A 15,594-nucleotide genomic window follows, 5' to 3' on the forward strand; every position below is an offset into this window, starting at 1 on the left:
CTGACAGCGGTGTTCCTGGGGAAGGATGGTAATATTTTATCAAAAGGTTCATTCCAGACAAATAATCCTACAGCCCTGGGAGAAAACGATGCGTTTCCCTGGATCCAGCCAGACCCACAGCCCATGAGGCTGCAGTCTCTTCACAGGACTCCCAGGATCCCGCGCCCTCAAGGCCTCCTGGGGCAATCGCAGGATTGTGCTGAGCCGGGCCCTGACAATAGTCTCCACTGCATCTCGGAACCCTAGGCCTTCCCTGAAATATCACTGCCAACTCTCCATCATCACACAGGAAAATCCTGTCCCGAGGTGACCATGGACAGCCTCCTAAGTCTTTCCTGCTCAGCTCAGAGCTTGGGAGTCTGGCTGGGCCGGGAATCATTTATCTGCCCGTGAAAAGATCACCTAACACCAGCTGGCTGAAGTTTTTAAAAAGTGTGCAGGTGGGGACTGTGGGCTGTCACTGGGGAGTTCCAAGGACAAACCTGGGCATCTCAGTTACGTCTTGATCTCTGGGCTCAAAAGATATACCCATGCTTTGTTTCTACCTCCTCACAAGTGGGCTTCATTCTCAGGCCTACCTGGTGACCTGGACCAGGCTCATATGCCCCAGGTAAACCCCAGTTAAGAAAACAAAACACCAACACATGTGACTCTCTTTCCCCTATGCAAGCAAAACTCTATAATCATGTTTCATTGGCTCAGATGTGGTCACATGATCACTGCTGACCAATTACAGCATCTGGGGCCGGATGCCCTGATCACCTGTCCCCACTCACCTGCTCATTCCTGGGATAATACCCTGGCATCAGCTCCATAAAAAGCACATGGGCTGAGCTAGAGATGGTAGCTCTCCAAGGAAACCTATTCCTACAAGAAGATTGGAGGTAAAGGGAGACAAAACCCCAGAATACTTCCTCCCCCTAATTTCTAGTCTCTAGTTAAATAGTCTACAGCCAGCTGCCGGGTGTGGTGGCTCACACCTGTAATCCTAGCACTTTGGGAGGCCAAGGCAGGCAGATCATCTGAGGTCAGGAATTTGAGACTAGCCTGACCAACATGGTGAAACCCCGTCTCTACTAAAAAATACAAAAATTAGCCAGGCATGGTGGTGGGCGCCTGTAATCCCAGCTACTCGAGAGACTGAGGCAGACGAATTGCTTGAACCCAGGAGACGGAGGTTGCAGTGAGCCGACACAGTGCCACTGCACTCCAGCCTGAGCAATGGAGTGAGACTCTGTCTCAAAAAAAAAAAAAAAAAAAAAAACACAGTCTGCAGCCCGCCGCCCGAATGCAAAGTGTGGCGGTCGGGCATGAGTGAAACGTGATGGCGCTGCCCCAAGGCATCCCTGAAGCCTTTTTCAGCCCTGGGTTGGGGTCAGGGTCAGCACAGAGTGACTTCATCTCACAGGAGACACAGTGTCAGGGCGTCAACCAGGGCCCAACTTCTCCAGTGGGGTTTGCTCGGGGTGAGGAAAGGCAAGGTCTGTGCATGACACGTGCTGGTCTTTGTCTCCCACCAGCAATCCTGTCTGCACCGAAATACTCCTTCCTGATCTAGTGGCTGATCTGGAGAAGCAAATGTGTGGATCTTGGTAAAGGGCTGATTTCACAGGCACATAGTAATGGGGTATTTTGAGAGTGTATCTAATCCACGAATATTAAGAATAAAATATGTTTGATCAATGAAGTATTTGTTTGCAGCAGAATAGTCCTGGGTTCAGCCCAACCAACTCTCATGGCTTAATTACTGTCATCAGACTGGTTTCCAGAAGAATAAGGGTATTCTGACACGCATCAATCTGGCATCATGGTCACAGGCATTCAGAGATGAGTAGCCGCCTGTCGCCTTTCTAGTCTGTATCGGCAACACGTCAGAACCATCGATGGGAAACCACCTCATATTGATAAGCTGGTGAGCTAAAAATGCTCGTGATGGCATGATTGATCATTGCATATTAACTAAGGTTATTAGAACAGGGAAATGTGAGGCTTTCACTGCCTCCTCACAGCACTCAATTTAACAATCCGTCTTCATTTCCCTTGTGTTTCTTCTTCTGCGCCTGTTTTTTTTTTCTTATCCTCAATTAATTACAGTCAGTTAGATGATGAACACAATGAGTTTCATGGTGTACCTGAAGAGACCTGCTCTTGGGGAGACTGTCTCAGTGCAAAAATGTAGCAGGTTAGTTCCAGAAGATTTAGTTTCTGCTGGCAGGAACCTGGGAGCTTGGAAGAAGGAGCCAAGAGCCATCACAAGCATGTCCCCGAGGCATTCAAACTGGAGACAAAGAGCCCTACCCTGGCTCACTCTACGATGCTGGTTTCTGAGCACAGGTGTCCTTCGCATCCTGGGACTGGACAACAGGGAAGGGAGCGGGGCTGGGTACCACTTGGTTTTAGCAAGGAAGGTCATATAGTAGGTTGCCTGTTTCTACACATTTCTCTCAGTTTGTGGGATGGAGTTTTCTTGGCCCTGGAGGAAGGACAAGAAGTCAAACTCAAAACTGCTGAGTAAGTGGAGGGTGAGAGGGGCCTGAGTTCTATGACATCAGTGGCCCCAAATTATTTTGAGTTGGTCTGTGTTTCCTTGGTTATGTTTACTCTAATGTAGCGCCATCCTATATTCTAGGAATATTCCCTTGAAACAAAATAAGGAAACTCCGCTGAAGCCTCACTTCAGATTCATTGTTTCTTTCAGTACACTTTTATTGGGCCCCTACTGTCTGCACAGAGCTGCAGGAGCGGCTGTGGACATGGGGAGGGACCCCATGGACCTGTTCCCCAGACAGAGCAGCGGATATGGGAACAGGCCCTGGAAGAAGACTCTCTGACCTTGAAACTGAGTTGGTCATTTCACAGCTCAGATATGGTTTGGCTGTGTCCCCACCCAGATCTCATCTTGAATTGTATGCATAAGCAACATGTGTCATCGGAGGCACCAGGTCGGAGGTAATGAAATCATGGGGGTGGGTTTTTCTCATGATGTTCTCATGATAGTGGATAAGTCTCATGAGATCTGATGGTTTTATAAATGGGAGTTCCCCTCCACACGCTCTCTCTTGCCTGCCGCCACGTAAGACATGCCTTTGCCCCTCCTTTGCCTTTTGCCGTGATTATGAGGCCTCCCCAGCCACGTTGAACTGTGGGTCCATTAAACCTCTTTTTCTTTACAAATGACCCAGTCTCGGGTATTTCTTCATAGCAATGTGAAAATGGACTGATACAGTCCCTGAGCCTCAGTTTCCTTCTCTGTAAAGTGGAGGTAAGGATAGTGCATGTTATCATGGTTGTGCAGATTTAATGAGATCATCTGGCATATGAATAGCCCAGTATAGCACTTTACCCCCGGTGGCTGCTCAATAAAGATCGTCTGTGAACGTTAATTAGGGAAGACAAGCCCCATCCCAGTGACAACGGTGCAAAGAGGAAGGGGTTAGAGCCACAGACAGAGCACTGGTAATGGATCTGCAGTTCCCAAAGTGTGACCAGCAAAAGCTGCGTCACAAGCGAATGTGTTAGAAATGCAAATTCACAGGCCCCACTGGACTTGCTGACTCAGAAGCTCTGGTTGGGGGTAGTGGGGGCAGCTCTGTGTTCACTGCCCTGCAGGATATTCTGATACTGGCTCAAGCCTGGCAGCCGCTGTGATCACCTCCTACAGCTGGAGACTGGAAGGAGAGAGTGCCCGCTGCTGGGGGACCCTGCAAGGTTCGCTGAAGGAGGTTGCAAGGGGACAGAGTGAGAGGGGGCTTGGCAGTTCACAGAGAGAGAAATAAATATGTAACCATTAGGTTTGTCGCTGAGTTTCCAACGTTTTTGCATCGAAGTTGCTGGGTGTCAGGACTTTCCCTGAGCCCTTCTCATCCCACCAGGCTGTCTAATGGTCCTGAGCACTGTGAGGTCCTCTGGGGCAGCCACACTTGTCTGTCTTTCCTGTAGTGCTGGGAACTCATGGGGGCCACGGTCAGAGACTGTAGCAGCTCTGTGACAAATTTGCTGGATTTAGCAGGCAGGGCAACACAAATATATTATCTTACAGTTCTGTAAGTCAGAAGTCAGACATGGGTCTCCCTGGGCCCAAATCAGTGTGTCTTCAGGGCAGCCTTCTTTCTGGAAGCTCAAGGAGAGAACCCATTTCCTCGCCTTCTGCAGCTTCCAGAGCCCCCTTCCTCCACCTTCAAAGCCAGCACTGCACCTCTCAGTGCTGTTCCCACAGTTCCATCCCCCTGGCCCCCTCTGACCCTGCCTCTCTTCTGCCTTCTGCCTATGAGAACCATGGAGATCACGGTGGACCCACCTGGGTAACCGAGTATAACCTCAATTTCCAGGTCAGCTGCTTAGCAAACTTAATTCCATCTGCCGCCTGAATTCTCCTTTGTCACGTGAGGCAGCACACTCAATCCACAAGTTCCAGTGATTAGGACATGGACATCTTTGAGGTGCAACATTCTGTCCACACAGGGCCCATGTTCCTCTCCATCTGTTAGCCTGGTGCCCCAACAGTGTAGGGTGGTGACTAAGAGTGAGCATTTGTGAGTCAGATCCATCCGAGTTCAGTTTGCAGTCCCCTGCTTTTCCTTATGTGGCCTTAGGCAAGTTTCTACACTTCTCGGAGACTCTGTGGTCTCATCCGCAAACCAGCGATGACAGTAGAACCTACAGCACAGGGACATTATGCCAAACTCTTGCAATGCCCTTGTCACTGTGTTATTGTGACCATTGGAAGGAAAATTAGAGCTCGCCTGCTCTGACCCCACCTCCTATACCCACCATCTCTCTGTCACCTCTGGCAGATGGTGCAGTGGGGCAGACTGTCTCCTGGTCAGCAGTTTCTCCCTACCCTCTGGCCACACTGCCAATGCTGCTTGAGAAGACATCCTGGTGCCATGCTAAGCCACATGGAGTGGCTGTAACTGACCACACACTGAGTCCCAGGATGGGCCATGATGGACTGGAGCCAATCAGTGGATCCCAGGCCTCTAACCAAAAACATGTGTCCAGGATGGGATCCTGTCCACCCAGGTCTGGAGCCCACACACCACATCTCCAGAGCCTGAGTTGGCCACAGGTACAATGGAGAAGCTTCGGGTGAAGCTGATGTTGAAAAAGGTGGGGGAGAGAGTCAACAGGAGCTCAACAATGTCTTCAAAGACTGTTGTTCAAGCCTCTAGATCCAGCCTTGCCTGAAGGCAGCCCTACTTGGGGACATTTATGTAGACGACCCAGTGACCATGGATTCTCTTTCACTTGCTGCACAAGGAGTCTGGTCTTTCAGTTCTATTCAATCTTCTCCCAAAATAGCACATCTTCTTTGGACAAGATTGAAGGGGATGCCTTCTAGTCAAGGAAGGCTGTATCCATGTGGCTGCAACTCATTTCCTAAAACTTCGTTCTTCCAAAGCAAAACAAAACAAAACAAAAATCCAGCTCATTTGTTTCACAGGAACTTACTAAGTGCCCTCCTCTTTTGTTCTGAAGCCTTCAAATATTTTTAAACCATTGTCCTTTCCCTTGGCCTCCTCTCTTCTGTCTTCATATGACCAGTTTCTTTACTCAGACCCTACATAACTTGGCTTGTAGATCTCCCATCACCACAGTTAGACTCCTCCTCCAAATGCCACTTTTCCAATCTCCTTTTAAAACTGTGAAGTCCCCAGTAACATTGGCTGTCACATAAACCCACTCTGGATGTGGCCAGATACAGCTGATTCTAGTGACATATTGTGTCTGTTAATGTCTGGCTACATCTTAATGTGAAGCGATGGTTCACACTGACGGGATGTCCGAGTGGGAAGGCACCCTGGTCAAGAGGGCTCTGCATTTGTGATTTTACATGACATACATATGCTACTGATGGCTCTTGATGCCATTAGGAACCACCAGCAGGAACAGACATGCAGTTATGCAAACCACATCCTTTTTGTCCAGTGGTCCTGGCCAGCCTCAGACAGTGACCCAGCCCTGAGTTGTCAGAGTGGATGGTCAGCAAGGTGTCAGCTTGGATTTCTCAAAGCAAGGCTGATATGGTTAGGCTTTGTGTCCCCACCCAAATTCCATCTTGAATTATAATCCCCACAATCCTCACCTGTCAAGGACCCAATGGGAGGTGATTGGATCATGGGGGAAGCTTCCTCCATGCTGTCCTCATGACAGTGAGTGAGTTTTCAAGAGATCTGATGGTTTTATAAGGGGATCTTTCCCCTTCACTCATACACACTTCTCTTGCCTGCTGCCTTGTAAGACATGCCTCTTCCCCTTCCGACAAGATCGTAAGTTTCCTGAGGCAAACCCAATGCTGTGGAACTGTTAGTCTTTTCTTTATAAATGACCCAGTCTTGGGTATGTCTTTATAGCAGTGTGAAAATGGACTGATACAAAGGCCATCTCACCACCCCTTGCTTGCATGGGCCATTGATTTTGACTTACCATCAGGGCCCAGCGACCCTGGCCAGGCATCCTTTGGACCACTCCTCACACTGCCCAGACTGGACAGGACACAACCCTGGAAAGGCCTGGCTCCCTCTCCACACAGCTGCTAGGCTTATGAGCTCTGAAAGGTACAGGCCTCCAAGAGCCTCCATTCGGCCTTCAATAATGAGAGGGGGAGAAGAGCCATCTCTCAGCCACAGCTGGAAGGAAGTGGGCTTCATATTCATTTGCACAGCTCCTCTCAACCTGGCCCCTTCTTTTTTCAAGTAGCAAGAAAAAAAGCTGAGAGAGCCAGGAGATGGAGGCTCTTAGTAGATCTTTAAAAGGGGCAATTTTGTTTCATTTATCTGAAAAGTCACACCGCACATGGTGAAGGGGGAAGAAGGAGAAGGGGAGGAGAAGGAGAACTCGTGGAGGATGGCTGGCACCCGGGAAAGCAGACCCCCTCATCCTCTGGCTCCGTGAGTGGGTTCCAGGACATCGTGCAGGAGGTGACTCTCCCTGACTCAAGCTGAGCCTGCTCATCACAGTGTCTGGTGTGCATGATGTTTCTCTTATTTGCTAGGTTCAAAGCTTTGTGCCCACAGCTTCTTTGCTGGTTCTTTCACACGTCTGCCCAGGGCCCAGCACCTGCCATATCTGGAGTGCTTTCTGACCCCGACATTCCTGTCACCTCATTCAGTTCTCTGCTCACTCATCACCTCCCCATTGAGCCCTTTCCCCAGCCCCCCTGCCTAGCCCCATCCAGCCTTCCTCACCCATAGCGAGCTCTGCCTGCTCTGGCTCCTTGTATAGACTGGCTGCTCTCCTGGGTGGCCGGAGCAGTCTGGTTCAAGGTATAAGACCCTCCTCTACTCTGTAACTGCTGTGATTGAGGGGCCTAACTCGAACCCCAGGTACAAACTGGAGTCACAACCAGGACATTCAGCCACACACATGAGGCTATGCCCTGCACAGCAACCCGTGTGTAGAAGTCTCATGGAGCTTCCGTAACAAATGACCACAATGGGGAGGTATATTCCCTCCGCATTCTGGAGGCTAGAAGTCTGAAATCAAGGTATCAGCAGGGCCATCCTCCCCACAGAGGCTCTGCAGGAGGACCCTTCCTGGCCTCTTCTACCACCGATGGCTCTTGGTGTTCCTTGGCTTGGACACATCACTCCAATCTCTGCCTCCACTTCACATGGTTTTTTCCTCTTCTTTCCCTGTCTCTGCTCTGTGTGTCTACTTTTATTTTTTTATTTTTTTGAGACACAGTTCTGCTCTGTCACCCAGGCTGGAGTGCAGTCCAGCTCATTGCAGCCTCAAACTCCCAGATGCAGTCATGGCTTACTGCAGCCTCAAACTCCCAGGCTCAGGTGATCCTCCTACCTCAGCCTCCCAAGCAGCTGGGACTACAGACGCATGCCACCATGCCCAGCTAATTTTTTTTCTTTTAAAGATGGGGTCTCGCTATATTGCCCCAGCTAACCTCAAGCTCTGGGGCTTAAGAAATCTTCCTGCCTTAGCCTTCCAACATGCTGGGATTAAAGGTGTGAGCCACCGTGCCCTGTCTATTTAAGGATACTTGTCATTGGATTTAGGGTCCACCTGGAGGATACAGGATGATCTCATATCAAGATCCTTAACTTAATCACCTCTGCAAAACCTCTTTTTCCAAATAAGGTCACATTTACAAGTTCTTGGTATTAGCACACATATCTTTCTGGGGATCACCATATACTTATAAATAATAAAATTGTGGACATTGTATAAACACTGATGGCATGCCAGTCAAGGTGTTACATACTTCACTTTTGTTTGCTTATTTGATCTGATAGTCCCTATGCCATATCTCCCCCCGCTCCCAACAGGGAGTTGCACTGGACTTCCAACAAGGAAGAGAGGTGGCCTTATCCCCATTTCACGATAAGGAAACTGAACATCGAGGAATGTACAACCAGCAGGTGGCAAATACCAGAACTCAGATGCGTGTCTTCCAGGCTTCCAAGGCTGTGCTCCCACATACCCCACAGCAACTGCCTTGCAGATGAAGGTGCTGGGGCTCAGAGGCTTGCCCAATGTCCCGTGGCTGAGAAGTGATGAACAGAGTTGAAATTCCACTGCTTCCCATTCCAGGCTCTTGCTGCTGTAAGATGCCTCCTCCTCAGGGTCCAAAGTGGATGGAGCAGCCTCTGGTCAGATGGCACCATGTGCTGGGTTACAATACAGAAAATCTTCCCTCCCTTCTTCCCCGGGCCACTTCCCTCATCCCACTGAAGTCTTGCCTCATCTCACTGAAGTAGGGCTTGGATAAGTAGCTTGTTCAGGCCAATGGAACATAAGCATAGACAACATGCCAATCCTGAGCCAAGCCTAGGTGGCATCTGGTGCTTCCTCATGGCCTGTTGTGTTCCTACTGTTACCACAAAAAACCATGCCCTGGGTAGCCACTAATTCAAGGATGATGGGAGGCTCAAGGAGCAGAACTCAACCCAATTCACAACCTGGAGCCTGGAACCTAGAGCCAGGAGCTGGGAGTCCAGAGCCCAACCTAGCCCAGCCGTGGTGCCATGCAACTCTCTTACTGGCTCATAAGTGAGAAATGTCTGTTGTTTTCAGCCTCTGGGTTATGGAAAGATTTGTTACTCAGCATTATTACAGCACTGCTAACTGATACAGATGGGTCTAAACTTGGATGGTTAACAAATATGGAATATATCTTTAGAATAACAGATTATTCTCTGATTCAGAAAGAATGTACAACATAAAATCCAAAATAGATGGCCCCATGCTAACTGAAACCAGTATTCAAGCTAGCTCTTTACAATTTAAAAGGAAATTGGAATTTGAGATGGGACAGGCGTTTTTCATTGGAGATGTTTTGAATGGAAGCATCAAGATCTCCAAAAACGTACTTCTCACTTTTTAAAGGCTTTTGTTTATACCTAACACTAAACTGATGCTAGATTGAAACATCAATTGACAACCTGGTCTGTCAATGAAGAATGTTCAACTTACATGTAAATACATGTACAAACATGGGCCTTCTATTCAGTCAGTCTCAATTGAAAACTTTCTTCTCAAAATTCACTCTAATATGGGGATTGTGTTTATTTATGGGTGACAGCTAATTTGCTTTCTTCCTGTAATAAAATAATTAAAATACTTTGCTCTACGAGTTGTATTTTTTCAGGGTGATCCTTTCATTAAAAGTCATTTAATATCCTTCTGTTCTGTTATCTGCTACATTTCAACTTTTGTGTTTTCTCTGCTCTCCTTGTCTTCTGTCATATTTCTCATTAAATTTCCCCTTTTTGTCCTTTTGTTATGATGGCTTATTTTCTGCCCTAAAACAAGCTTTGAACTTAAAAACCTGAAAAGCATTTTATTTGGAATAAAAGAATCCACAGTGTCACACATTTGTCAGCTAATGTGTTCCTGCCTATGCTTTGTTTTAATTTTTCAGAGTGATTGTTTATGAACGAGGCCTTTGGTTTCTTGGAGGCTGGTTTGGTCTTTCTACCCATTCTTCACAGAAAACGGTAATCCTCTGATAACATAATCATCACTGTAGCAACCGGAGGCGATGTCACAAACAGGATTATGACTTAAGAGCCCAGATTTGCATCTCACACCCACTACTTACGCGCCAGGCGCCTCTTTGGACGCCACTCCACAGCCTCGTGTGTTAAGAGGCACACAAGAGCTGCCTGATTGGCCCCCAAGCTGAGAACCGGGAGCCGGAGGAAATCATAGCGAAATCTCAACCTGATGTAGCCCCATCAGCATCACACACACACTCAGAGCAAAATGGCCTGCTCTTCAATGTAGCTTAGTTTAGTTCAATTGTCCTGCCCACCCCCTCCTGACCCTCCTGCCGCTGAGGGGTGGTATTTGAAAGAACAGGTGAGTGCTTCATAGGTGCCGGGTTCGTGATCTAATTCTGGGTTCCTCAATCTATTAACAGCTTGGGAAGAACAGATCAGAGGACTGATGCTCACCTGGGTTTGGATTCCTCCTTTAGCCTTTGACAAGTTACTTAACTGAGTAAATCCTCAATTTTCACCATGATAAAGGAAAGATGGTGTGTGACTATTATGTTTTTATTCCGGATTGAAATACTCAGTGTATTCATAAGGCCAGTGAAGGCAGCACAGGGAAGTTAGTGTGGGCTGGTGCTGTGCTCATCAAGTCCACAGACACCTTAGGGGTTGTCAGGGTATTATCTGGGTCTTCTGGGTATCCCAGTGGTTTGGTTGGCGATTGTTCACCCATTTCACAGATGGCAAAACTGAGGCTTATGGAGTTTCCTGTGATGCTCCAGTTCACAGAGCTAAAAGGAGTAGAGTGATGGCTCAGACGCGGGCCTCCCAGCTCAAGTTCTGTGCTCTGGATGGAAAGTCAGGGTGACCCTGAAGGACGGGGCAGCTGTGCAGGGACAGGATAGGCCCATCCTGGAAGGCTCATTGGCTGAGGGAAAGAGGGTACAGGGGAAATAATTCCCTTTCATCCATCCATCCCCATTATTGCTCCTAAACTTCCCTTCCACCTCCAGCTTCTTTCCTCTCTTCTCCTTGGGACAGCAACAGCACAGAGAGTGGGCCGCCATCTCTTACTGCCCACTCAACCGTTGCTGGGGACTGATTCTTTCAGCTCTACATAGAATTCAAGAACTATATTTGGATCTGCTTCAGAGCAGTAATCCCCACAGCCTTAAAACATGCAAAATAAAAATAAATTAATCATCCATCAGCATTTTATGGTACATTTATAATTTTATTTAAATGTTTAATATCATAAAACAAGCTTGGCTCATGGAGAAAACTGTTGATTTCATGAGAAGAAATTGCTCTCTTTTAAACGAAAGTAAATACTCTTTAGGGCATCCCCAGATAGGAAATGAAGATGAAGGAAGCTGTTCCCAAGTTGGCCAAATCTGGCAATTATTCTCTCAAAGACAGCAATGTGTCACAGCAAAATGCGACAATTCCCTCAAGTGACCAGTGGGACTGATTTATGAGCAAAAGCAAAGACATTGTTCCCCCAAACGACTTTTGAGTTACTAACTCCCTGAGAGGGAAGATCATGGAAGGAGGGGGACCCAGGAGGCTCAGGGGTCCAGACCAGCTCTGAGAAGGACCTGTCTTTCACCTTTCCTCAAGGTTCTGTTATTTTGAATGGCAGATCACCATCACTTTCAAGGCCTGGCCTTGTTCTCTGATTGGTCATTCTTAGAGAGAGATAGGTTGCCCATTAAGACCCATTGTTCTGACTCTGAAATGAAAGAAAATGAAGCAATTAACATCTTGGCAGTGGGCAGAATTAATCATGCTTGACCATTTTTATTTAAGTTCTCCCCCAAAATGCAGCACCGAAGGGCACTTATTAGTTCACACAAAGAGGCATCTCTGAACAGCAAACACTCAATTATTTCGATGTTTACTGTTGAGAAAACTGCAAAAGAAAATATGCATTCAACAGACACATTCTGAAAGGTCTTTAAAAATGAGGCTATTTTCACAGTTTCTAAGGCATATCCTATAATTTTGTTTTTTAATCATTGCAACCTACTGGATTCAATATTAGATTCTTATTTCTACCTCTCCAAACCCTCATCATAGTCTTCTGGCCATTCAGCAAAATACATTACTTTGCAAAGCTGAATGTAAGCATAGACATCTTACATTCAGCTTTGCAATGTCTTACCTCCACTGTCACAAAATTAGGTAGCACCTCAGATCAGGTGAAGGAAAAATGACACATCGGATTTGTAGACTGTCTTCCTCTCTCCCATGACCACAGTGGTCAAGTGGTTGCATTGATTACCTGATTAATGGCCTCCTTGTATTCCTGTCCCACTGGACTCTTGGCTCGCTCAGCCAGGGGGCTTTCTTTGGCCAATGGATGTTAGCAAATGTGACCCAAGCCAAGTTCTGAAAAGATATTCACTCTCTTTGACCTCTGCCACCACCGAGAGAACATACTCAGGGTTGCTTGACAGAAAAATAATCTAAAAGATATCTAGAGGAGAACGGACTGGCCTCCAGAGCCACCCTGGACCAGCAGCCCCCAACCAGCATGCAGCTGATTGCAGCACAGCGAGCCACCCCAGTAGAGGCAGCTGAGCCTGGCTCAGATCAGCAGAACTGCCCAGCCAATCCAAAACTCAAAGAAAAATAGTGAATGGTAGTTCTTTCAAGCCATTCAGTGTTGGGGTAATTTGTTATGTGGCACTATAGAGGCAATAGGTAGCTGATACAAACCTAACCCCAGCTGCCATTCATTAAGCACATGTTATGTGTCAGGGATGGCGCCTTGTAAAGTTGACACTTTACAGACTCAACTCTGATCTGCCCAGTGATGCCACCAGTCAGGTGTCATTATTCTCATTTATATAGATAAGGACACATGCCTTACACAGTAGAGTTTAGTAAGCATGTGAGAAGCTATGTTTGGACCCACAGCAGTCCCCTCTTCCCTCAAGTTACCTGCCTCCACCATGACAGTTTGCCCTGAATCCCTGGCTCTGGTGCCCCACCCTGAGCATAAACAGGTCATCATGTGAATACCAACAAACTCATGTTGACCAGGAAGGACTAAGCCATGCCTCTGAACTGCTGACACGTCATGTGACCTGTTCTGGAAATGCTATATGGGCATGAGCAAAGCCCACCTTGAATGTCTAAAAATAAACATGAGCCAGGAGTTCCTATCTGCAGCCACTCATCAGCATTTTATCCTCCCAGCTCACCCACTCATCACACTGTAAAATGGGATTGCTCCGAACAAACCCATACAAGGCAGATGTCCAGCCCACCACTCATGCCCAATGATGGGGGAAGCGACGGTCACTCTCCCACAGCAGGCCTCTCCCTGAGATCACCCTGTTCTGGCATAAATAGAGTGTACCTGTGATGGACCAAATTCATCCAGCTCTCGTTCTGGATGTCCTCCTAGCAGAAGCTGGCTACTCTTAGCTGAATTCTGCTTTGTTCCCTAATAGGCACTGGCCTGGATGCCATGAAAGGGCCAGGAGCTTGCCAGTCCTCCTCACTGTATCTGCAGCTTTAAGCATGATAAGAAATACAACAAGTGTTTGTAGACAATGAATGGTCTAAATGTACATATGGGGAGTTCTACGAGCAATGCATCACAATTCCAGCACACACTTATTTGCATCTATTAATGTTTCTTGACTTTGGTTGCACACTAGAATCATCTGAGCTGTTCTGAAAAGCACAAACACACAGCCCCCATCCTGGAGCAACAAAACATCCTGGGCTATTTGAAGGATTCCTGAGTAGAGCTATTGCTTGAATTCTCTCTGGGTCAATCTGATGTGCAGCGAGGGTTGACGGCTACCCTTCTCTCCTATTTCAATTTAAACACAGAATTTTAGCCAACTCCTTTCTAACCCTCATGATGTGATGTCATCTCTCCAGGGAGATCTTGCATAGTGTTCCCAGGAGAAGGCCCAGCAAAACTTGCGGCAAGAGGAAGTAAAAATCCTGCCCCCACCCCTTCTATACATGCCTGCAGGTGGCTTCACAAACTTGTTTTCCCTGCAGCTGCTTGCACATGTAACAGCTTCCAGGATAACCAATGAGCTGGAACCAGTAAGATGTGGCTGGGGAAGGGGGCTTCTCATCTGTCAGCTGGGGAGCCTCATGGGGCCTTACATGGACTCAGCTTCTTACCAGTTCCAGAAGAGCACCCAAACGGCCCTGGGATTTTCAACTCTGAAGCATAAGGTGGGAACCCGGCAGCAGGCTGGACCCTCTGGCCCCCCTCCCTGTTGTCCTCCATGAGCTCCCAGTCCCGTTCATATCAGAGCAAAACCACAGCTGGTGGGACTTAGCGGATTTTGACAGCATGTTGATTATGAATATTGTCCCTTTCAGGCAAGTTAATGAAGCACCCAATTCACACCAGCTTTTATCTGTCAGAGAAACACCAGCAAGCAAGGTAGAGACAACAAGCCAAACCCTGATGTGCAAGTATGAACTTCATGTTAATTAGGAATCGGAAGAATGTGTGGGTTTCTCTAATGCACTCATCATACGAAGCCAGCTGATTCAAATGCTCTCAACCTGAGCTTCGGGTCATTTGTGTTAGCTGTAAGGCCATCTGAGGCAGATGCATTGAACCTGACCTTGAGAGTATCCTTGACCACTGGACCAAGAGGCCAGAGACTCTACAAGTGTGCTCAGGCCAGATGGCTAACTCAACTAGTGCCTGGCAGGAAGACTCAAGATGCCAGCTTCTCCCCTAAACCATGTGAACATTCAACCATTTTAAACTATAAAAACAGCAATTTCAACCAAAACACTGGACCTTTGCCTATTTTACTGGAAGTTTCTCTCTTAGAGTATGATGAAAAGAGGATTGGTTGTAAGAGACCTGGCTGCAAGGCTCACCTCCACTAAGTAGCCATAGACATTTTGGCCACTAATGTGCTGTGAGTCACCTTATTCCTCTGGTCCACAGCTTCTTCATCTGGGAAAGGAAGACATTGGATTGTAAAGTAAGAATAGCCCACATTTTTTAGCATTTGCAATATGCTAGGCAATGTGCTAATTGCTTGATTATTAAAGAGACAATTAACATTGAAAAGTAGTTATTAACGCTTCAACACCCCAGCAGGTGGAGATCGTCATTAATCCCATTTATCAGATTGGGTCATTGAGCTCAGGATGGTGCATGTGCTGCGTCTGAAAGGCTGGGGTCTGGTGCTCGCTTCTGGGCTGTTGATGACTGGGTTCAGATGCATCATTGTGCATGCCTTTCTTAGCAGAGGATTTCTTCCCGCTCTGCTATGGACAATTTACTGCTTTACAGTCTTTTCACCAGAGACCACTCACTGGCAGTGGCATTTGTAGAAAGTAGCCTCTAAGCTGCAAAGCCCTGCCTGTCACCAGACCTACGTAGAGGGATTCCCACTTGCTTTATGATGTCCAGAGTGCTCCTCGTGTTGCCCTGTGGGTTTTATTTTCCTGTTTTCCACTGGATATGGTCAACTGGCATTTACCATGAATTCCCAGCTCCTCCACAAGTTCTTCTTGTACTGCTAAGACTGAAAACTTAAACAATACATTTTCTACAATCTCTTATGTGGTGAGCAGATAGAAACGTGGTCCCCAGTGATCCCCACCCCCTGGTATTCATGCCCCTGTGGAATCCTGC

At 47.4% G+C, this 15,594-nt stretch overlaps 1 long non-coding RNA gene across 1 annotated transcript; it reads left to right on the forward strand.

The window, feature by feature from the left end:
* Positions 1 to 10,050: 10,050 nt before the first annotated feature.
* Positions 10,051 to 11,166, forward strand: LINC01718 (long intergenic non-protein coding RNA 1718). Its single transcript, NR_109919.1, has 2 exons — positions 10,051 to 10,317; positions 10,967 to 11,166. It is a non-coding gene; the product is annotated as a long intergenic non-protein coding RNA 1718 (long non-coding RNA).
* The last annotated feature ends 4,428 nt before the right edge of the window (positions 11,167 to 15,594 follow it).

This window comes from Homo sapiens, chromosome 20 (genome assembly GCF_000001405.40).
Source record: "Homo sapiens chromosome 20, GRCh38.p14 Primary Assembly".
Taxonomy (NCBI): Eukaryota; Metazoa; Chordata; class Mammalia; order Primates; family Hominidae; genus Homo; species Homo sapiens.